The sequence below is a fragment of the Homo sapiens genome, chromosome 2 (assembly GCF_000001405.40).
Source record: "Homo sapiens chromosome 2, GRCh38.p14 Primary Assembly".
Classification (NCBI taxonomy): Eukaryota; Metazoa; Chordata; class Mammalia; order Primates; family Hominidae; genus Homo; species Homo sapiens.
Window position 1 is genome coordinate 23,692,613 of NC_000002.12, and position 22,618 is coordinate 23,715,230.

The 22,618-nt window shown below is 49.8% G+C and overlaps 2 protein-coding genes across 6 annotated transcripts in view, besides 1 other annotated feature; one reads left to right on the top strand and one right to left on the bottom strand.

Moving 5' to 3' along the window:
• KLHL29 (kelch like family member 29) overlaps window positions 1-15,994 on the top strand; it is a 323,428-nt gene extending 307,434 nt beyond the window's left edge. For all 3 annotated transcript variants that reach the window (NM_052920.2, XM_006711929.4, XM_011532501.3), the window contains 7 exons: window positions 657-916; window positions 3,011-3,209; window positions 3,339-3,521; window positions 3,721-3,901; window positions 10,574-10,767; window positions 11,107-11,251; window positions 13,869-15,994. In NM_052920.2, the coding sequence (NP_443152.1) occupies window positions 657-916; window positions 3,011-3,209; window positions 3,339-3,521; window positions 3,721-3,901; window positions 10,574-10,767; window positions 11,107-11,251; window positions 13,869-14,052 (1,346 nt within the window). In that variant the 3' untranslated portion in view covers window positions 14,053-15,994. The remainder of the gene's footprint in view (window positions 1-656; window positions 917-3,010; window positions 3,210-3,338; window positions 3,522-3,720; window positions 3,902-10,573; window positions 10,768-11,106; window positions 11,252-13,868) is intronic.
• Window positions 1-22,618, bottom strand: part of ATAD2B (ATPase family AAA domain containing 2B) — a 249,155-nt gene that overhangs the window by 14,644 nt on the left and 211,893 nt on the right. The window lies entirely within an intron of this gene.
• Window positions 10,145-10,977: an enhancer, noted in NCBI's record as "H3K27ac-H3K4me1 hESC enhancer chr2:23925627-23926459 (GRCh37/hg19 assembly coordinates)". NCBI's record gives its function as "activates a minimal SCP1, AML or CMV promoter by ChIP-STARR-seq in naive H9 embryonic stem cells {active_cell/tissue: H9 hESC(naive)}" and the evidence as "EXISTENCE:reporter gene assay evidence [ECO:0000049][PMID:30033119]".

Below are 22,618 nucleotides of genomic sequence, written 5' to 3' on the forward strand. Positions count from 1 at the left end.
GATGGGCCTCCAGAAACCCAGACACGCCTAGGTTGGAAGAACCACTAGCATGAAGGGGAAAGAGTGCAAGGCCCTGGGAGGGACAGTATTGGGTAAACAGGATACGGAGATGGCTCCCACCCCAGACCTAGCCACTAAGCCCAGGAGAGCTGGCCAGATGGACCCCAGAGCCTAGCGAGCCAGATTGAGTGGGGCAGAAGCCTATGCAAGAAGCTGGGAGGTGTGTGAGGGGCACTACTGCTAACGAAGGAGTCTGGGACCACAGACATGCCTGGCACAACATGGAAGATGCTGTAAGCCTCAGTGCCACCCTCAACCTCAGCGACAGTGTGACTCCTGACGCCTGACCCCAGCCCAGGCCCAGGCTCTGAGCAGGGCTCTCCTGCTCCATGCCTCCCAGTCTCGGTCCTTCTGCCAGGACCTGTGCGCACAGAGGGAGGCCCCTGGGAGTCAGCATGAAATGGGGTAGGGGAGAACCCAGGAGAAGGATCGAAGCCTCCAGACACCCAGGAAGGGGGCCTGCAGGGACTCTGGACACTGCAGTCAGGGTCCCCCGGGATGTGGGTTCAGAGAAGGATCTAGGGTGACAGCAATGGGAACAGGTGGCAACTGCTTCCCGGGCCTTTGGGTCAGTGGTCCTGCGCTGTCGCCCCCAGAGAAGCAGCTGACGGCCAGCAACTGCCTGGGCGTGCTGGCCATGGCCGAGGCCATGCAGTGCAGCGAGCTCTACCACATGGCCAAGGCCTTCGCGCTGCAGATCTTCCCCGAGGTGGCCGCCCAGGAGGAGATCCTCAGCATCTCCAAGGACGACTTCATCGCCTACGTCTCCAACGACAGCCTCAACACCAAGGCTGAGGAGCTGGTGTACGAGACAGTCATCAAGTGGATCAAGAAGGACCCCGCGACACGCACACAGGTGGGGCCTGCCCTGTCCCCCGCCCCTTCTCTCTGGGTTTGGGGTCCCCCTGCGGCAATGGGGTCTGCAGCAAGGAGGAAGGAAGTGAACCTTCCTTGTCCTGCTCTCCCTAAGTGGCAGAGAGGTGAAGGGCGGGCAGAGAGGTGAGAAACCAGTCACCAAAGGATCCTCAAGGGCTGGCATTCCACCCCAAAGGAGACCCAAGTCGGCCAAGAGCCGCAGCACCTGCACTCTGCAGGGAGAAGTGGGTCCCTGAGCCAGGGGGCTCTGGGGCTCCCAGGAACACGGACCCAGCTGGAGGAGCCCATACCTGCTCTGATTGTTGAGGGGATGGACAGCCCGCAATGGACCAAATGGAAACCCCTGCATGCAGGAAGAGGGAGAGTGAGGTCCTGAGGGGACTGTGTTGGGTAAACAGAGGATACAGAGAGGGCTCCCGCCCCAGATCTCGCCATTGAGCCCCAGAGAAAGGGGTCCTCAGATCAGGTGGGAGGCAGGGTTTCTTTTCAGAGGTAGGAAGTTAGATGGGGCAGCTAATAACAGTGACAGCCACAAGTCCCTATGACTCCCAGATCTGTGTCTCAGGCTGAAACCCTTTCCTGAGCTCCAGACCCCTCTGCTCAGTGGCCTTCTGGGCCTCTCCAGCAGAATGTCCTGCAGATCCGTCTAATTCACCAAGCCGAAAGCCTACACCTCTTCCTGTTCCTTATTTCAGCGATGCCTGGTCCCCAGAACTGAAGCTTAGCTTCCTCCCACTTCTCCCATAGCCATTTCGCTACACGCGCTCATTCCTGCCTCCTTCCTCCCCTTTAAGTGGATCGACTTCCCTCTCCCCATCGAGACCTTCCTCCTCTCGCCAGGATTACTGCAGCACCTCCTAAGTGGTTTCCTTGCCTCTGTCTTGCTCCCTCCAAATCCATTTTCCACCCTCCAGCCTGAGCGGTCTCTCTAAAAGCACACTGAACATCTCATCCATCCACTCAAACCCCTCCTCAGTTGCCTCGTCGACTCCACAGGGGAAACTGTGCAGTCCTTGTTGAGCATGAGCATGAGCTGGCCTCCCCAGCCTCTCTCCTCTCACTTCTCCCTGTCTCCCTAAACGCCTCCTCAACAAAATCCTGTTACATCTCGTAAGAATAAACCCCAGACAATTCTCCAGACACACCATTCTCTTTCACTCTCTGACGCCTCTACACGGGCTTCGAATGTCCACCCTCCCATCCACCTTGTGCCTGGCAGAAGTCTGCCCATTTTGTATACCCCATCCAGATGCCATTCCCTCTGCAAAACCTCTTACTCCTGCACCCACTACAAACCCTCACTAGACACTCCTCTTGCCCCTCGTGAATTTTTCATAGCAGATCCCCTCCCATTAAACTGTGTACCCCTTGAGGTCTGAAACTGGGTCACAGTGGTCTCTGCACCCCCAGTGATGAGCGTCATGCCTGGCCTATGGTGGTCTCGTTACTCATGGGATGAAACGAAAGTAGAGTGATGAGCAGAGTTTGTTAGGAGGGGAGATTCAAGGGAGCCTGTAAAACCACCTCAGTGCAGGGTGACAGTTTGAGGCCGTGGGACATGGGACACCACTGAAAGTTTTCGGTGCTGGAGAGACACAGGCTCCCACGGCTGAGACTTACAAGCTCAATAGTCGCCATCTCCTTGAAGCTTTCCTGGGTCCTCCCACCTGTTCCTGAGTCCTTGTCACACTCACAGCTCTTTAATAATCGCGTCTTCCTCATTTTAACCCCTCGCCCCTGCCCCCAGTGGCCTGATCTGCAGCAGGGGTCCACAGCCCCAGGTGGAGTGAGAGAATGGGGTGCTGGGGGGATGAACACATGCTCCCACTCCTGCAGGGCTGGCTGCAGCCTGCCAGCCTCCCCTCCGCACCCCTGCGCTCCCGGCCCTCCCCTCCACACCTCCAGCTGACTAGACTTCCCTTCACCTCTGTCTAGGCTAGCAGAGTATCTACACTCCCAAGCCTAACACAGCCTGGAATTATCCATTCTTGTGCAGCCCCACACCATTTCTTTCCGTCCGGGAGGTGGCTCTCTCTTGCTAGTCTAAGAAGATTCTGTCTCCTGTACCCTGCAGTACGCGGCTGAGCTCCTGGCCGTGGTCCGCCTCCCCTTCATCCACCCCAGCTACCTGCTCAATGTGGTTGACAATGAAGAGCTGATCAAGTCATCAGAAGCCTGCCGGGACCTGGTGAACGAGGCCAAACGCTACCATATGCTGCCCCACGCCCGCCAGGAGATGCAGACGCCCCGAACCCGGCCGCGCCTCTCTGCAGGTATGAAGGGGCACGCCCCGAACCTCCCAAGAAGCAGTGTCTTGGGCTCAGTGGTTCCAGTGAGGTGCCAGGCACAGATGCCGACAGTCTTAGAGTGTGTCCCAAGGGCGCCCATCCATGTCCCTGCAGGTGTGGCTGAGGTCATCGTCTTGGTTGGGGGCCGTCAGATGGTGGGGATGACCCAGCGCTCGCTGGTGGCCGTCACCTGCTGGAACCCGCAGAACAACAAGTGGTACCCCTTGGCCTCGCTGCCCTTCTATGACCGCGAGTTCTTCAGTGTAGTGAGTGCAGGGGACAACATCTACCTCTCAGGTGAGGCCCCCCGGGGTTGGGGCGGGACCAGGCATGGGGGTCCCAAGGGGACTGCTCCCCACGTCAGGGCTGAGGAAGGCCATGGCCCAGAAGTGTCTACTTTGCAGGTGAAGCCTTCCTCTGCCCCTGGGGCTGGGCCTGCTGACCCCAGGCCCCTCCTCACCCCGCCCGCTCTCTCTGCCTCCCACACTGCCTCCAGGTGGGATGGAATCAGGGGTGACGCTGGCTGATGTCTGGTGCTACATGTCCCTGCTTGATAACTGGAACCTCGTCTCCAGAATGACAGTCCCCCGCTGTCGGCACAATAGCCTCGTCTACGATGGGAAGATTTACACCCTCGGGGGACTTGGCGTGGCAGGCAACGTGGACCACGTGGAGAGGTAATGAGGCCACGGTCAGGACAGGGGCATGCTCTTTGCTCACCAAGAACTGAAATCACGTCACTCACTGTACCTCCCAACACCCACTCAGTGGCGATGGAGCAGAGCCTGGACCATTCATATGGGCAGTCATCCCAGGCTCTTCAGTCACAGCACCGGGGGCAGCAGGGTGTGGGATACAAGCAGATGGGATGACATCTGTGTCACCTTTGCAGTCGCTGAGATGGGAGATGGGGCGCTTCTGTCCCGACAACCCATTTAGGTGTCAGACAAGCTGGAGGCCCAAGATCCAGTTGCAGAAGGCCTGGGATGAGCCAGACCCTCCTGGCCAGGCAGTCAGGGAACACCCTGCACCATGAGCACCAGCCCAGAGACTGCTGGGGTTTCGGGCAAAGCTGGAAGCAATGTTTAAAATGCAGGTCATGCCAGTGGCGGTGCCTCCTTGTCCTGCCAAGCGGGGGGTCCCACACCAGGGAGCTCCCTTCCTCCCTCCAGCCACACACACCAGGACATCTGTTCGTAATACAGAGAAAGGCCACTGCATACAAACTAAGCAATTTAGGGAGAACATTCTTGCCAACCCTCTAGAACTTTCCAGAAGAAAAAATAAGCCAAAGGACCACGTGTGAACCTGCCCTCCGCTGGGAGTCCCAGCCTGGCTTCCTCCCAAGGCCATTGTGGAGGGTCAGATACAGGCATGAGGGGCGTGGGCTGAAGTGGGTGCTTCCGGATGAGAATACAAAATCCTTTTCCCTTGAGCCAGGGAGACTGTTCTTTCTTACAGAGAACAGATGCCTGGGGGAAAAGCTCAGGAAGCTTTGTCAGGCAGCAGAACGGAGGCTTAGTCCTGCTTTTGGAGAAACTAGTGCCTGGAGGGTAACCCGTCAGGCTGACCTGGCCCAAAGCACAACCCAGGGGAGACAGCTAAGATTGCCAGAGCCCCTCCTGCACCTGAGCCCACCACCCCCACCGCCATGTGTCACCAGAAAGCACATCTTCCCGTGGGACATCATGTTGCCTATGAAGCCACACATACCCCTCAATTTGTATTTTTCCCCCTTGGTGGCTAATTGGACACTTGACAAATGTTACAGCAAAGACGGTTGCAGAGTGAGGCAGGCTCTGAATGCTCATTGTGGGCTTTTAACTCCTCCCCCAAGTAGAGCCCAGAGATGGCTCAGTAACAACATTTAGTTATCATATTGATCTGGCAATCATGGGCATTGCCACGTGAAAATGAGGATATTACCGCAGTTGCTGGAGCTGGGTTGGCCCCGGTGCTGGCAGCCTTCAGTGTGACCCACTGCCCAGCTATGCATACCCCAAGCATTCTGGAAGCATCGGCTTCCGATCATTTGTCATCCAATAATAAACAAACACATGAAAAATGAGACATTTTCTCTGTAGGAGTAAACTGAACTGGATCCGTCATTCTGTCTTGCTTTTGTCGGCTATTTTTAATCTCCTAAGACACTGATTACTCATTTTGCAAACTTATACTGTTGATAAATATAGGGATTTGTTCAAGGATCAAATGCACCAACTAAGCAGTGAGACAAGCTCTACTCTTCCAGGGTCCTGGAGCAGTTCTCCAAGACCAGGGGTTGCCTGTATGGGCCTTCCCTGGGGGGCAAGGCCCTCCTTCTGGCTGTGAAAGTTCAGCATGGGCACAGTGTGAGCGAGACCACCCCGGGAACCCCAAGAGATGAAGGACAAAAGGGTGCCCTGAAGGGCCCTGAGCCCTTCCTCAGCCCACCAGAGTCTGCCAACTGTCCTTGCAGGGGCAGGATGCAGGCTTGAAGACCCCTGGGCAGTGTGCATGCAAGTGGGTTGGAGGGTGCAGGGGAAGGAACGCTCACTGCTTTCCAAGAAGTGTAGCTAGACCCCCTTCGGGTAGGTTGCTTTCTGTGGCACACAGTGGCAATGATGAGAATTCAGGGTGACAGGAAGGTCAGGGTAATGGGGACAGACACGAGGGGGCTTTGTTCCCCAGGAAGCACTAATGGTACAAATGGCTATTATATTGATAATGAATGAGATATATGGTGCATTATAATTATATTACATTATGGTATTACAGGAATAGAGCAAGATTATATAATTATAGATTAAGACAACAGCACAATAGACAAACCTGTATTATATCATTATATAAATAACCGGGTCTAATATTTTATAGCAATATATTGCAGTCACTGTGGTTACTGGATAAATGATAGCAGAACGCCTCACTCGGCAGGGTCATTTGCATGTCATTAGCATATCCTTCTCAAGCAGGAAGCTGACAGATTGAGCTGACGGGAGGGCTCATGGCTTGGCAATCAGCCACCTGGAATAACAAGCTCTCAGGAAATTCGCATTTGGTGCGATGTGCCATCATACTGAAAGACTGAGGACTAACAGCCACATAATCTTCCACTGTCTCCCAGCTCCTTCTGCAGGAGCTCTTTGGAACCCTGCCATATTGGCTTAAAAAGCAGATATCTGAACTTCTGACACTGTCCAAAAAGACACTTACTCCATTGCATATAAGCTACATATCATTTGTCTGGGGCTTAATTGAATCTGCCCCGCTGCTGCCCTTTGAGACATTCCAGCCTCGTCTCAAATCCAAGCACACAACTGGACGTCACATCACCCTCGCTCAGAGGCAGAGGCACGGGCTCTGGGAGGCCAGCTTCCTGGGCTCTGGGCTGTGACTGAGTTATGACTGGTGTCCCAAGGAGGCTCACAGAAAGAAAGCAGGCCCCGTATGCCTCCCAGGAAAGATGTGCTGGGGACAGACCCAACCCTGGTGGCACAGCATGCCATGCCCAGGCCTCGCATTGCGTCCAGGCACTCACCGAACAGTGAGCAGCATGGTGGGCGGTAGATGTGTCCCCTGCTGGGAGGGCCTAAGTATGGAGGCAACTGGAGTTGGGAGACCAGCCCCCAAGGAACCCGACAGAAACACTGAGGACCGATATTCCAGCTTCCCCATGAAGCAAGACCTCAAACATCCCAGTGACCTGGCCAGGCTGCTGAACCCCAAGTCTGCTTTTCCCAGCAGCTGCCTCCTGTTGTCCTTTCTCCCCTGTCTTGTCTGGCACTCATGTTCTATCACTTCATCCTTTTCCTCTGCTGCTTTGTCCTGCACCCCACATCAGCAGATCTGTTCAACCCAACCGTTTGCCTTCTCGGCGCCCAGCCCTGGGGGCTGAATGCTGATGGAGGAAATCCCACCCCATAACACACTGGCCCCACCACACGAGAAGGGAAGGCCCCCATCCTCTACCGGGTCCTTCACACTGCAAGGCAGCCTTTCTGGGTTTCCCTCTTCAGCACTTTCTCCTACTCTCATGAGCAGTTATTTCCTGTCTTGACCTCTCTCTTCAGAGATCTGACCCTACAGACTCCCCCACTACTTTGGTCAACTCTGACTCCTGCTTCACAGAGAAAATGGAGCCATCAGTCAAGAACTTGCTCACCTTCCTGCAGTCATTCCTACAAATACAGCTACACTCGTGCCATCCTTGACTTCCTCTCTCCTGTGCAAATGGACTCCACGTTCCCTCTGCACTTTGGATTCCATTTGCATCCACCTCCTGGAAGCCTTCCATCATCAGCACTCCCGTCTCTTTCATACACATTTAATCTTTCATTATCCAGTTGGACTCCTTCCTATTTTAGCATGTAAACACAATTAAACATTCCCCTTAAAAATTAAAACAAGACCTGTTTTCTGCTGGCTCGTGAGATCTGAAGTTAAAATTACAGGAACTCTGAGCCAGTTGTTTTAACCACAAAAATTTAACAATTTTTAATTATTAAAAATTATATACACATATTAAAAACAAAGGTAATCCATACTCAAAATTCATCACTTCCTAATTTTTTACTACATGTTACTACTCTCTTGGGCCTTGAGGTTATATATGCCTATTGCGCCTCTCCAGGGAGGAGATTCCAGAGAATGGTGGCCACAGCACATCTCTTTCCAACTCCATGTTCAGCAACATCCCTATGGTAGCTTGAAATCAGCCAAGTGGGAGGAGTGACATCGCAGAAACCAGCAAACGCTACAAACCATGACGTTTTCCCTAGAGAGCTGGCTGTTAAACATTCATCAGCATTCCATTGACCCCTCTCAGCTCCGGATTCTTTTCTAGGTCCTACCTTCTGTGCCTCTTCACAGCTAAATTTCTTCCAAAAGAAGTCTACACCCACGGTCTCCACTGACACAAATGGGTTCTGCACCTCTTGTTCCGGTTGAAGTGCCCTTGACTACAGAGCAGTGGCCTGCTGGAGATTCCATCCTCCATCCTTGAAGCCCTCACCTTCAGGGGCACAGCCACTCACTCGCTGTTGGGACCTTGGCTGCCCTCTGAGGACGCCTCTCAGCTCCCCTCTTAAAGACTACATTTCCCCAGTTTGTCCTCAGCCCCCATGCACTTCACATCTCCCCAGCACACTCCTGAGCTTCCATTTCCAGCTTTGTGCCAGAGATCCCACAGCTGAATATTTAATCCACACCCAAATATCTGACTGTCTGCTGCACATCTCCAATCTGTTGCCCACAAATACTGTAAACTTCCTGTGAAGAAAACTGAAATCACCCTCCTCCCTCAACCTTCCCATCCCACCAGTAGTGTCACCATCCACCAGTCCCAAGCCAGACCCTGAACCATCCTTGGCAACTATCTCAATGAGCAAACACACCCATTCCCCTCTCCTTCTGTTCTCCTGTCCTCATACTCTTTTGTCATTCCTTGGTCCAAGCCACTGTCGCATCTCACCAAATTTCTTGTGCAGACTAGTCCAACTAGTCTCCCCGCTTCTGACCTCTTCATTCCAGGACATACTCCATCCTGCAGACACAGTGATCTCTCTAGATGCCAAATTTGATCACATTATTTTCCTGCTTAAAACCTTCAGGGCAGTCAGGTGCTGTGGCTCACATCTGTAATCCCAGCACTTTAGGAGGCCAAGGTGGGAGGATTGCTTAAGCTCAGGAGTTCGAGACCAGCCTGGGCAACATAGGGAGACCTCATCTCTACGACAAATCAAAAAATTAGCCAGGCATGATGGTGCACACCTGTAGTCCCAGCTACTCAGGAGGCTGAGGTGGGAGAATTGTTTAAGCCCAGAAGATCAAGGCTGCAGTGAGCCATAATCATGCCACTCACTGCATTCTAGCCTAGGCAACAGAGCAAGACCCTGCCTCAAACAAACAAACCTTCACCCACTGCACTCTAGATAAAGCCCAACTCCTTTAGCTTCGCACACATGGCTTTTTTTTGCTTTTTTTTTTTTTTTTTTTTTTTTTTCAGACGGAGTTTTGCTCGTTGCCCAGGCTGGAGTGCAATGGCGCGATCTTGGCTCACCGCAGCCTCTGCCTCCCAGGTTCAAGCAGTTCTTCTGCCTCAGCCGGGTAGCTGGGTAGCTGGGTAGCTGGAATTACAGGCATGTGCCACCATGCCCAGCTAATTTTTTTTTTTTTTTGTATTTTTAGTAGAGACGGGGTTTCTCCATGTTGGTGAGCCTGGTCTCGAACTCCCGACCTCAGATGATCCGCCCACCTCGGCCTCCCAAAGTGCTGGGATGATAGGCGTGAGCCATCGCGCCCAGCCCACATGGCTCTTTTTAACTACCCCCCACTTCCAGCCATTCCATACTATGGGAGCACCTTGACTGATGATGGGGTTATGTCCTGATAAACTCATTATAAGTTGAAAATATTCTAAGGCAAAAATGCATTTAATACACCTGCCCTACTGAACATCATAGTTCAGCCAGCTTACCTTAAACATGCTCTGAACACTTACATTAGCCTACAGCTGGGCAAAAGCATCTAACACAAAGCCTATTTTATAATAAAATGTCAGATATCTCATGGATTTTATTGAACACTGTATATTACATCAAAATTGCAATCATTTTGCACCATGATAAAGTCAAAAAATCCTAAGTCGGGGACTGTCTGCACTATAAATTCTCCCAAAATGCCACCTTTGCCTACTGCTCTCCCTTCACCTGTAATGTTTTCCCTGTGCCCACTCAGTCCTGCTTCCCATCCACCTAGCTAGTAGCTTATTCACTCTTCAAGGCCCAGCCTGGGTATCAGCGCCTCCAGAAAGCTAATATGACCTATTGGAGCTGCTGGGTGCCCCCTGCCATGTGCACCTTGGGTTTCTCACCTTCAGACCACTCAGCATCCTGCATGTAATTATTCTTTGTGTGTTTTATTTGGCTGCCTTCCCCACGAGGCCATAAGCACCTCGAGGGCAGGAATGGTGCTTCATCCAGCACGTTTCTCCAGTTTCCAGCCTGGGGCCTGGCTATAAAGCAAATGCTCAGTCCAGCATTGCGGAATGCAAGGGTAGGACTGAGCTGGATAGAGAGGAGGGGAGCACTGTGTGAGCAAAGGGATGGAGACAGGAATTCTGCACAGACGCTGCCATAGGCAGAAAGAGCCCACTGATGTTCCAGAGGAAGGCCGAGAGGGCTAGTTTGGACGAGACCCCAGGAGGTCTTGAGTGTCTCATCGCAGTGCCCCCCACTGCTGGTGTGATCTCAGGCTATGCTGGCCATGCTGAGGGCGAGGAGCAGATGGCAGTTTGCTGCCCTTGCTTGTGACCTCTGCCCCGCACAAGGTCCATCTTGACCCTGGGCTCTTTTTCTCCTCTCCTGCAGGTACGACACCATCACCAACCAATGGGAGGCGGTGGCCCCTCTGCCCAAGGCAGTACACTCTGCTGCAGCCACAGTGTGTGGCGGCAAGATCTACGTGTTTGGTGGGGTGAACGAGGCAGGCCGAGCTGCCGGCGTCCTCCAGTCTTACGTTCCTCAGACCAACACGTGGAGCTTCATCGAGTCCCCAATGATTGGTGAGAACCAGCGGTGTCCTCAGCCCAGGGCCAGGGTCGCATCCCTGCCTTGCTGATTTGTTCAGTATCCCATGCCCAGAAGTCAGGCTAAGCCCAACAGCTCTGCAGACCCAGATCTAGAGGGTGGCAGGAGTTGCCGAGCCCCCAGCTCAGGTGTCTGGAGAGGGGCAAGTGAGTCAAGGCTCCAGGTTCCCCTAGGCCCCGGACCCATCCCCAGGCCAATCAGTCACTTGTTGGAAGTCTTTCGAGCTTCCTTCCCTGGAGGGTCTTCTGGGAAAGAAAAGGAGAGGGAAGTCCAAGACAAGCTGCCGTGACCTGCCTGCTCTGCTCTCCTCACAGACAACAAGTATGCCCCCGCTGTCACGCTCAATGGCTTCGTTTTCATCCTGGGCGGGGCTTATGCCAGAGCTACCACCATCTACGACCCTGAGAAAGGAAACATTAAGGCGGGCCCAAACATGAACCACTCTCGCCAGTTCTGCAGGTGAGAGGCTGCGGCGCCTTGACTAGGGCTGGGACGGAGGAGTGGGAGGAGGAGGGGTGTGACCACAATGATTTCCTGCCATCAGTGACCATAGCAATTCCCAGGCCCAGAGCAGTGGCCCTCCCCCTCCAACCACAGGAGTGGGCATTAGCCCAGACCAGTAGGGTGGAGCCCACGGCAGCCTCTGGTCCAGGAGCCCAACCCCGGGGCTCCAGCTGGCCCCAGCTCCAGCAGAAATGAACCATTTCCTGAAGGCATCAAGGCTACCCTGCTCTCAGTGAGAGGTGAGGTCAGCTTCCCCCAGGACCACCTGCCCCATCACAGACAGAAGGCAGTGCCAGGCCAGAGCTGTGTGATGCCCTACAGGGACAAGTGACTTCTTGGGGGAATGCTCTGAGGACATGAACGATCCTGATGGCTTTGGGAGCTGTGCTCAGAGTCCCAAAGGCTGACTGGGCAAAAGCACACACAAACCCACCCCTGCAGGCAGAGAAGGTAGAGGGCTGAGTGTGGCTCGGTCCCCAGGCTTTCTGGCCCTGTGGCAGCGAGACACCAGTCCCTGCTCTTCCAGCCCCATCCTTTCCTGGACTAAGAGGAACAAGGAATAAAAAGGGGCCCCAAGGCCAGGTGCAGTGGCTCACACCTGTAATCCCAGCACTTTGGGAGGCCGAGGCGGATGGATCAGTTGAGATCAGGAGTTCAAGACCAGCTTGGCCAACATGGTAAAACCCCGACTCTACTAAAAATACAAAAATTTGCCAGGCGTGGTGGCATGTGCCTGTAATCCCAGCTTCTCAGGAAGCTGAGGCAGGAGAATCGCTTGAACCCGGGAGGCGGAGGTTGCAGTGAGCCGAGATCGCGCCACGGCACTCCAGCCTGGGTGACAGGAAAAGACTCCGTCTCACAAAAAAGAAGGGGCCTCAGAAACCTCATTGTCAGGACTCCCATAGCAGATGCTTCCTGAAGACATCTTGTGCCTATGTAGAGGTAACTGCAGAATCTTCAGTGTGGGAATAGCATGAAGTACTTAGAGTGCCCATTGTTTGTGTAGCATAGCTAGAAAAGATATAACCTCCTACTAGCATGTCAGTGACCTTGGACATATCCCTTCACCTCTCTGAGGAAGTTCTATCTGTGAAACAGGCGGTTGGACCAGACAACTGCTAAGCTCCTGTTGGACTGAGATTTCACAATTCTTGAGCCATACTTCCATGTCATGTACCCTAATGGTGGCAGTGTGCAGAGCACAGTCTGACTACCCCGTCCACTGATGCAGACAACTGGAGCATTGCGCTCCACTTGGGAGGATGCTCGCACCTTCTCTGAGACTAGAAGTAAATGGGAAAGGGCCAGGCACAGTGGCTCACGCCTGTAATCCCAGCACTTTGGGAGGCTGAGGTGAATGGATCACGAGGTCAGGAGTTCAAGACCAGCCTGACCAACATGGTGAAACCCCGTCTCTACTAAAAATACAAAAATTAGCCAGGTGTGGTGGCAGGCGCCTGTAATCCCAGCTAACTCAGGAGGCTGAGGCAGGAGAATTGCTTGAACCTGGGAGGCGGAGGTTGCAGTGAGCTGAGATCACACCACTGCACTCCAGCCTGGTGACAGAGTATGACTCCGTCTCAAAAAAAAAAAAAGAATGGGAAAGACTTAACGGCAAATGGCAGAGTTAAGCTGGGTCTTGCAAGATAATCAGGTAATAGGTGCACCACAGAAGGAAAATATGAGGGCCCCAGATGGCATGAACTAAGGGAGAGAAGACTGGAAGCTTCAGGGTCTGGTAAGAAGTCCAGACTGATGTGTTCTCTTTAAGAGATTTCAGAAACGGGTGGAGCCTTTGAAAAGGTATGTGTCCAATGTCAGGGAATAGCCAGGAAGAAATGGCCATTAGCTGAAATGAAAGAGTGTCAGGGCTAGAAACAAGGATGTGGACGTCAGTGCAAAGAAGTAGCTGAAATGCATTAAGGGAGTCAGTGCAGAGAGGGGCCAGATGCTGAGCCCTCATGATGAGAGGAGCTGACTGAGACAACAGGAGCAAGCCAGTGAGTGTCACACAGGGAAGGGGTCCAGGCACAGCCATCGGTCACCCTGCAGAGCATGCCCGGCCCTTGCAATCCTGGGTGGGCAGCAGCACCAGGTCACACAGAAGCACCTTGGCAGGTGGAGCTCCCAGTCAAGTGGCTGACATTCAATTCCAGCTGAGCTCCTTATTATTCTCTCTCGTCATTCTTGTGAGTCATGTTCCCAATTTGATTTGAGCAGTAGGAAGGCTGCGTGTGCCACACAAGAGCCTCCAGAAAGCCTCAGTGACCTGAGCTGAGTGCCCGCACAGAGATCTTTCGTCTCCTAGCCATGGTTAGTCACTCTGGCGGGGCAGGGAGGGAGCGCCTTCTGCCGCTCGCAGGGTGGCATAGCACGGCTTCCTGACTGGCCCTGGAGGACAGGTGTTTTTCTTATGCCAGCCCAGGTTAGAGGGCAAAGAAGGGCAGCAAGATCCCAGATGCCTTCTGCAAAAGGCACAGGCAGCCTACAACAGGACACGACGTTGAGAACCTATCTCCAGGGCCAAGTTGGAAGTGAAATGCCTAACTCTGTCCCCGCTTTCCCCCAACAGTGCTGTGGTGCTTGATGGCAAGATTTATGCAACTGGAGGTATTGTCAGCAGTGAAGGGCCCGCGCTGGGCAACATGGAGGCCTACGAGCCCACAACCAACACATGGACCCTCCTCCCCCACATGCCCTGCCCTGTGTTCAGACACGGCTGCGTCGTGATAAAGAAATATATTCAAAGCGGCTGACATCAGCAGAAAGCCCACGATAAGACTGTGGACAAGTCTGGTGAGGCAAGTGCCACGCAATGATAATTTTCCAGCGACACCAACAAGAGGCCAACAAAACACAATCAAGGAACTCACTGCGCTCAACATGTTGAATATTCTCTACATTGAATGTAGAAAATCATCCTCGCCTTTGGATGAAACGGAGGCACCGCGCTTGGAGCCGCAGGAACCACGATCCCGCCATGGGGCTGGCTGCCTCCTGAACAGGGGCGCTCGCTCTGCCAGGTGCAATAGAGTTTCACGTATTTTTCAACTGGGAGAGAGAAGCTGTTTTTTCCTTCCTGCAGAGCAAGCTTGATCCCTAAACAACCATAGATCAGTTATCTTATGACAACATTAGGCATCAGGCTCTCTTGGAATAAGATCAAAGTGTCCTTATCACTTTGATTCCTACTTTTGTTTTTTAACCGATCTACACTTTCAGTGGCCGACAGAAAACGAGGGACAATACTGTGCATCACAAGGCCTAGGAGGCTGCTGGTCCCCACTGGGGCTGAAGAGAAGCCCAGCTGCCCACGCGGAGCCAGGGGTGGCAGCTGTGGGACAGCCGGGGAGCAGGGACAGCGGTCTGTCCTTCACAGGTTTTTCTACTGTGTTTTTGCTGGAGAAGGACAGTGATTGCGCTAGCTTTCTCTTACCCGGTATGAATTATTTAGATTTCTGAGGCATTTTCTTGATAAACAAAAGGCTATTTTTAAGTACTGAGAGGAGGAGCAGGCCACAAGAGGGATAATGTTGTGGGAATTCCCAAAGCTCTTTGTAGGTAGTGCCAGAGGGGGGCTTTTGCTCTCATTTTTCTATGTGCAGAATAGAGGATCTCTCCTGGGGTGGGCGATGCCCCCATTTTATTTTTAGAAAAAGTAACTCCCAGACAGCCCCATAAAAGCTGTGCCCAAGGAAGAAGAGTCTGCTCTAGAAGGAGCCCGGTTCTGGCTCAGGACACCGGCCCAGCTCCCTCCATGAGGTCAAGCTGAGGACCAGGCCAGTGGGAAGGGAAGGAGGGAGAATTAGCGTCTATAAAGCACAGGAGACTATTTTTGATATTCATAGCTATATATTAAGGCACCTGCCACAAGAGCTCTCAGGATGGGGACAGCCTTCTTAGTGGAGCCATGGCAGCAAGGCCTGAGGGCATGAACAGAACCACTCTTCTTGTCACATACGAACCTGAGAAAAGGGAAGCCAGGAGGGAGGTCACACCATGGCTCAAAAGGGAAAGGCCTTCCCACTTGTCCTTAGCCCCTCAAACCTCACACGGTCAACAGTTTCCATTCCAGGGCAGGAGAATGCTGCCGCCACTGCGCTGTTGAGTTGAAGTTGGTACCAAATACACATTTACCACTTTTATATCTGGGAAGTCAACTTGCCATCGTTTCATGATAACAACCATTTATAAGAGAAAAAGACAGGACACGCTTTCCATCGTTCAGTATTTGATGACACAAAATTCCAGTTCTAACGTTGGGCATCAACTTCTAGCACTACGAGTGTGGCTCCCACTTGGACAAGATACCGAGCTTCGTTATGCAGTTTTTAATATTATTTATTATTTTAAAAAGTAATAAGCACAAAACTACATACATTGTATGTCATTTAAAGTATTTATGTCAAACAGGGTGCAAGTGTGAACCCAAGGACTGGAGCACAAATTCCTAACTGCCTGGGGCAGGGCTAATGTTAGCATTGGTGTGCGTCTGCCTCCAAAGGAGGTTCTAGTTGTCAGCGAGACTCAACACAGATGACATTGAAATTCGTTTCTCTCCTCATCTATCACACTGGAGCAAAACTGGCTATTTCTGTGAATGATATAAAACAGGGTTCTCTGTAATGGTATTGTACATAGTATATGTTTACTGTTAAGTTCTTGTTATATTATAATAAATATATTTATAGATCTAGACTTGGAAGCCAACGTAATCTTTGTGTGCCATCGTCCTGCCACAGGGATGCAAAACCTGTTCTACCCCTCATACATCAGCTGTATGGGTTCTCTTATAGACTTTAGTGCAGAACTTAATGATTAGAAAGGATGGGACTCCATATTGAGGGAAGGTTTAGAGTTGAAAAGCCAAGAAGACAATTGAAGGTAAAAGTTGAAAGGGACTTGCAAACACGCTGGCACTGGCTCTGAGGCTCTTCCTTTCATTGAAGTGCTCTTCTTATTACACTTGTGCAACTGAAAGCTTCAAAGCTGTTAGCTTCCCACTGGTATCACTGCTGTGCCAGGGACCCACTTAGAGCCACATGGCAAGTCCAGCTCATGAGCCTAAGAGGAGACACAACACACTTTCTCCAGGAAGAGGAATACAGGGTGATTTCTTTTCTTTTCTTTTCTTTTTTTCTTTTTTATTGAGATGGAGTTTCACTCTTGTTGCCCAGACTGGAGTGCAATGGCGCGATCTCAGGCTCACCACAACCTCCGCCTCCCGGGTTCAAGCGATTCTCCTGCCTCAGCCTCCTGAGTAGCTGGGATTACAAGCCTATGCCACCACACCCGGCTAATTTTGTATTTTTAGTAGAGACGGTGGTTTTTCCATGTTGGTCAGGGTGGTCTCGAACTCCCAACCTCAGGTGATCCACCCACCTCAGCCTCCGAAAGTGCTGGGATTATAGGCGTGAGCCACTGCGCCCAGCCAGGGTGATTTCTATCCTATCCTAAAATCCAGTCGGGGGGCCTCACTGCCTTCTTCAGTCATGGCTGGTGCTGCTCTCTAGGCTGCTGTATAGACCTACCTTGCTATGCTAAGGACTTGCGTGCCAGGCTCCCTGGGGAGAAAAGGTAGAGCGCCAGATGGGAGCACCTGTCCTCTGGCAGGGAAAGTAGTTTAGATTTCACAGATTCGCAGAAAGCATATTGGCCAGCTTTGTCATCCATGTGAAGAGCCTCACACCATTAATTCACAAATCTCACCAAGACTAAGGGTCTCCTTGCCAAAAAAAAAAAAATCGGAAGGTGGTGGTCAGGGTAGGCGAGAGAGGGAGATGTTGAGAGAACTTGGCTGAGGCTTTATGGTGAGTGGACCATACTCTTGTCAAATAAATATTTGCAGTGATACCTTCAGTCCTAAAGGATGGCGAATGTCTAGAGGATGCCAATCATGAAGAGCTGAAATTATAACTTGAGATAAAAATCAAGCAATCATCTTGTTAACTCTTTTCCTGTCTACCTCATTTCCCTAAATCAAGAGAAACACATTCTCTGGGTCTACGAAGAGTCTGTGTATTTCAGACTTAACTCTGGGGGGTGAACAAATTGCATTTTGCCATAAAAGCCATGTGTGTCCACTATATCAGGAGTCCATGAGACAAAGGGGAGCATCCAAGTGAAACCATCAGAGCTGATGTGGATAGTGAGAAAGTTCACTGTGACGGCCACAAACAGAAAATGGTTCACATTATGCATGTGTATGATTTTTTTTAAACCCATAGCCAAAATAAGAAGAGAACAGTCAGGAAAAATATTTGCAGTCCATATGACAAAGGATTTATCTCTTTATTAAAGAACCCATGTAATTCAATAAGAAAAGGCTAAGTGATTCCAACAGTTAAAGAGAATAGGTCTTAAACAGACCTAACAAAGAGGAAACGTTGCCAGTAAACAAACATACAACAAAAAAGCTCAACAATGGCAGTTGTTAAATAATGAAAATAATTGTGAGGTAGTAACATCTTTAGCTACTAAATTAGCTCCCCAAACCTAAGAAAAATGGTGGGGAGAGGGACTCCAACTGCTCATGAGGAGCCGTGAACCCCGTGAGCAGTGAAGGGTTCTGTCAACCAAAACAACGCTTTTAGAGAGCAGTGAGGCAGACGCCGGGTATCAGGAGCCACAGAAGTATTCACACCTGACCTGGTGAATCCACTCTGAGCATCCATGAGGAAATCATAAAACTATGAGAAAAGTCATACACAGCTGCCCTCCATACCCAGAGGTTCCCCATTCAGATTCAACCAACCGTGCATGGAAAAAATTGGGGGGCAAAAAACCAATACAGAATAATACAAATGAAAAAACAATACAGTGTAACAACCAGCTACATTGCCGTTACGTTGTATTAGGTATTATAAGTAATCTAGAGATGATTTAAAGTACACTGGAGGATGTGCAGAGGTTATATGCAAATACAAACCCCTTTAATATCAGGGACTTGAGCATCCAGGGTTTTGGTATCCCTGGGGGTCTAGGAACCAATCCCCTGCAGATGCTGAGGGATGACCGTCATAATAACTTGCTCTCATTTACTGACACTAACAACATGCCCGACACTGTGCTAAGCACTGGCTGCGTGAAGCCTTCACATTTCCGTGAGACAGGTAATACTAAAGACATGCTGCCATTTGGAAAACACTTAGAAAAGGGAAAACAATGTATATTTTTATGATTGTGGGTATGTGATACACATATATAAAGATATATAAGATATACATCTAAAGATAGGTAAGATGTGTATCTTTTTAATGACCAGATTTGCAGTCAGAAAAATACTATCAGTTGTATTCATGGAATTGCAGGCAATTTTTCTTCTCTCTTGTCCAGAATTTCTATAATGACATTATTTTTATAAGATATAAATATATATATTTTTAAAAATGGGTAGTGAGGGACAGAGAGTAATCTTTCCACAGAATTTCTTTCTTTTTTTTTTTTTTTTTTTTTTTTTTTTTTTTTTTTTTTTGGAGACAGAGTCTCACTCTGTTGCCCAGGCTGGATGGAGTGCAATGACACGACCTGGGGTCACTGCAACCTCCGCCTCCTGGATTCAAGTGATTCTCCTGCCTCAGCCTCCCAAGTAGCTGGGATTACAAGCCCCTGCCACCACGTCCAGCTAATTTTTGTATTTTTAGTAGAGATGGGGGTTTCACCATGTTGGCCAGGCTGGTCTCGAATTCCTGACCTCAGGTGATCTACCCACCTCACCCTCCCAAAATGCTGGGATTACAGGAGTGAGCCACTGCGCCTGGCCCTTTCCCCAGAATTTCAGTCTGAGATTCTCTTTTGTGAAGATCATCTCCTATTTTGGGTACCATAAGCAATGGAGAAGTTAGAGAGGTTCACTATCAAGTAACAAAGACAATTACAAATAAAAAATATGCTGCCATGTATTCGTGCTAAAACTCTGGAATGGGTTATTAAGATCCCTGTACATGTCTCCTCTAATTGAACCTTAATATACGTATACAACATAATTACACACATTAACTCATTCTATCCTCTCAACTACCCTAAAAGGCATAGGGCTTCATCTTCACCCTTTAAGAAGACGAAACAGTCTCAGAAAAGTGGCTTGCCCGGTTATAGTTAGGCCATGCCCCAAGTGCTCTCTGTACACTGTTGAGTTTCATGCTCATTACGGTCCTGCACAGGATGGTTATCCCCATTGCAGGAGTGAGGCCACAGGGCCCTGAGACCTTAAGCAGAGAGCAGGTTTACAGCATCTCAGCCTTCAAACCTGGCTCAGTGAGACTCCAGGAGCTCGCACTACACAGCCCCTCCAAGTCTGCCTGGAGTTTTTAAGGCACAATCCTCCTCCCCAGGCTACCTCAAAAATCCGTAGTAAGAAAACAGAGAACTCTGTGAATGGGATAGACATTCAGCTCTGTTAAAAATAGTCCTCTTTAGAAGTGGTTTTAAAAACACCTGGTAAGAGTCTCAGCAACATAATGAAGGATTTGGCTTTAAACAGAAAACCTGGGACTGGGGTAAGGAAAGAGTCCTCTCACTGAGATGTGAGACCATCCACTGCCGCCTCATTAGAAACTCCTGCTGTGAGCCTGCATTGTGTGATGGACTCTCAAGGAGTTCCTCACATGCTTGTGGAATCACAGCCTCGGCCTGGGAGAGCAGAGGAGAGGGGAGAACAGCATAAGTGCTGACCACAGCAGCCTCGGCCCCAAAGGGAATATCATGACCTTGGTATCCAAGGATACAGAAAGTTTTCCCAGCTGGGTCAAGGAGCTGAATAACATAAGGACTCAACTCCAAGAAGCCTGCTGTTTTCACATGATGGTAAAAAAACTGAGGTGTGCTGTTGGGAGTAGACAAAGAGGAATCCCATGGATCTCTTTACAAAAAAAAAATAAGACTCCAAGAATGTGTGTTCACCATCCAAACTTGCCATGCATGCACTCTGCTGCCCACTATGGAACATATGCAGGTCATTTGGGTGTGTTTCCTCCTAGAAAATGAGGACAGCCTTTGAGTGGCTCATACTAGGTCGGTAAGACTGCCTTCTCCACCTCCCACCATGGGCCGCCTCACCCTGATGTGCAGCACCAGCCAGATTACCCCAACTCCACTGGCAACAGCACATGAAAAGGTATAAGCAAGTGTGCTGCTGTAGCCAGCCCTGCAGCCTACAGATGACTGAAGAAGTATTAGGTTGGTGCACAAGTAATGGCAGTTTTTGCCATTAGAAGTTTTAGTTAAAGGGTTTTCTTTCACTACGTGTACAGAATTCCTTCATTCTCAGCGAAGCTGGCCACTGCTCAAGTGCAAACCTGGGCACCACAGGACCCATGAGCACTGTCTCCTTAGGGTGTTAGCCCTGGGACTTTACGTTCCTGTTAGTACAAATCAGCCACTGAGGCTCTTCAATTCACCCCCTAAATTCTCCAGTCACTTTCTATCACCACTGCCTTATTTTTAAACCCTTATCACTTGCCCTAATTGTTGCTATAGCCCCTTTTTTATGGAGGTTTTTTTTTTTAAGTAACAGCTTTATTGACATATAATTCACATACCATACACTTCACCCTTTTAAAGTGGTTTTTCAGTATATTCACGAATTGAGCAACAATAACCACTAATTGCAGAACACTTTCATCACCCCAGAAACAAACCTGTACCCATTAGCATACTCCCCATTCTCCCCAACCCCTAACCCCGGGCAACCACTAATCTACTTTCTGTCTCTGTGGATTGCCTATTGCGAACGTTTCATAAAAATGGAATCATACAATACTTGGCCTTGTGTTTCCGGCTTCTTTCACTTAACAAAGTATTCTCAAGATTCATCCATGCTGCAGCATGTGTCAGCACTTCATTCTTTTATGGCTCCATATTATTCCATTATACAGATACACACAATGGATATATACAAAAATGAATACATTTTGTTTATCCATTCATTAGTTATTGAACATTTGGGTTATTTCCACATTTCGGGTATTATTAATAATGCTGCTATGAACAGTGGTATACAAGGTTTTGAGATTAAATAAATTTGGGAAATGCTAGGTTTATCAAGGTTAAATAGGTTTCTTTACTACAGATTTCTCAGAATCAAAAACACACTAACATTCACTCTAACTTTACTAAACTGGATACAAAAGGCAGAGTTTTCCCACCGTATTTGGCCATTACCCCCCGGTCCAAGTTTTCTTCTCTTCTAAATTATGATACAAGCTCAAATAATGATATGGAATTCTGAGGTCAACACATTCTGCCCTCATTCCTGAAAGAAGTACAACAGAAAGTAATTGTAATCTTGTGAAGACTCAGAAGCAAATTCTAATTTAGAATTCTCAAAATACTTTTTTTTTTTTTTTTTTGAGACAGAGTCTTGCTCTGTTGCCTAGACTGGAGTGCAGTGGCGCGATCTCGGCTCACTGCAAGCTCCGCCTCCTGGGTTCACACCATTCTCCTGCCTCAGCCTCCCGAGTAGCTGGGACTACAGGTGCCCACCACCACGCCCGGCAAATTTTTTTTTTTTTTTAGTAGAGACAGGGTTTCACTGTGTTAGCCAGGATGGTCTCCATCTCCTGACCTCGTGATCCACCCGCCTCGGCCTCCCAAAGTGCTGGGATTACAGGTGTGAGCCACCGCACCTGGCCCTCAAAATATTTCTTAAGAAAAATCAATATAGGGGCCAGGTGCAGTAGCTCACGCCTGTAATCCCAGCACTTTGGGAGGTCAAGGCAGGTGAATCACTTGAGGTCAGGAGTTCAAGACCAGCTTGGCCAACATGGTGAAACCCTGTCTCTACTAAAAATACAAAAATTAGCTGGGCATAGTGGTACATGCTTGTAATCCCAGCTACTCGGGAAGCTGAGGCAGGAGAATCACTTGAACCCAGGAGGCGGAGGCTGCAGTGAGCCAAGATCGCACCACTGCACTCCAGCCTGAGTGACAGAGCAAGACTCTGTCTCCAAAAAAAAAAAGAAAAATATATGTATTTTTATATGGTAGCAGAAGGAATAAGATTGATATTCTCTGAAGTTGATAAAATCCTTTTCTGAATGCAGCAAAATGTTTCATAGGAATCATCTGTCCAGAAGACTTCAGTCTCTCTCTACTCATATTGTAATATTTTTAATTGAAAAAAATCCAATAAACACACCTACAATAACTACTCTACATATAAACTAAAACAACCAACCCACACATCCAATGACAGCTGCAAAAGTGTGACCTGACAACTTCTGGAAAAGGCTCTTAGACATTTTATACTTTGTTAATTTTGAACAACATGACAATCTTTTTAAGTCACCTGCAGCAAAGAATAATCAGTCATTTGTCCCACCT